We start from the raw sequence: 295 nt of genomic DNA, 5'->3' as shown, positions 1-295 counted from the left end.
CCCACTGCAACCTCTGCTTCCTGAGTTCAAGTGATTCTCCTGTCTCAGCCTCCCAAGTAGCTGAGATTACAGGTGCACGCCACCACACCTGGCTAAGTTTTGTATTTTTAGTAGAGATGGGTTTTTGCCATGTTGGCCAGGCTGGTCTCAAACTCCTGACCTCATGATGCGCCCACCTCAGGCTCCCAAAGTGCTGGGATTACAGGCTTGAGCCACCGTGCCCGGCCCAATCTTTTTCTCATATGCATACACATACACAGTCTTGGAGATAATTCCAAAAGGAAGGAAAAGAGAG

The sequence above is a fragment of the Homo sapiens genome, chromosome 10 (genome assembly GCF_000001405.40).
Source record: "Homo sapiens chromosome 10, GRCh38.p14 Primary Assembly".
NCBI lineage: Eukaryota > Metazoa > Chordata > Mammalia > Primates > Hominidae > Homo > Homo sapiens.
Note: the sequence above shows the minus strand (reverse complement) of the source record.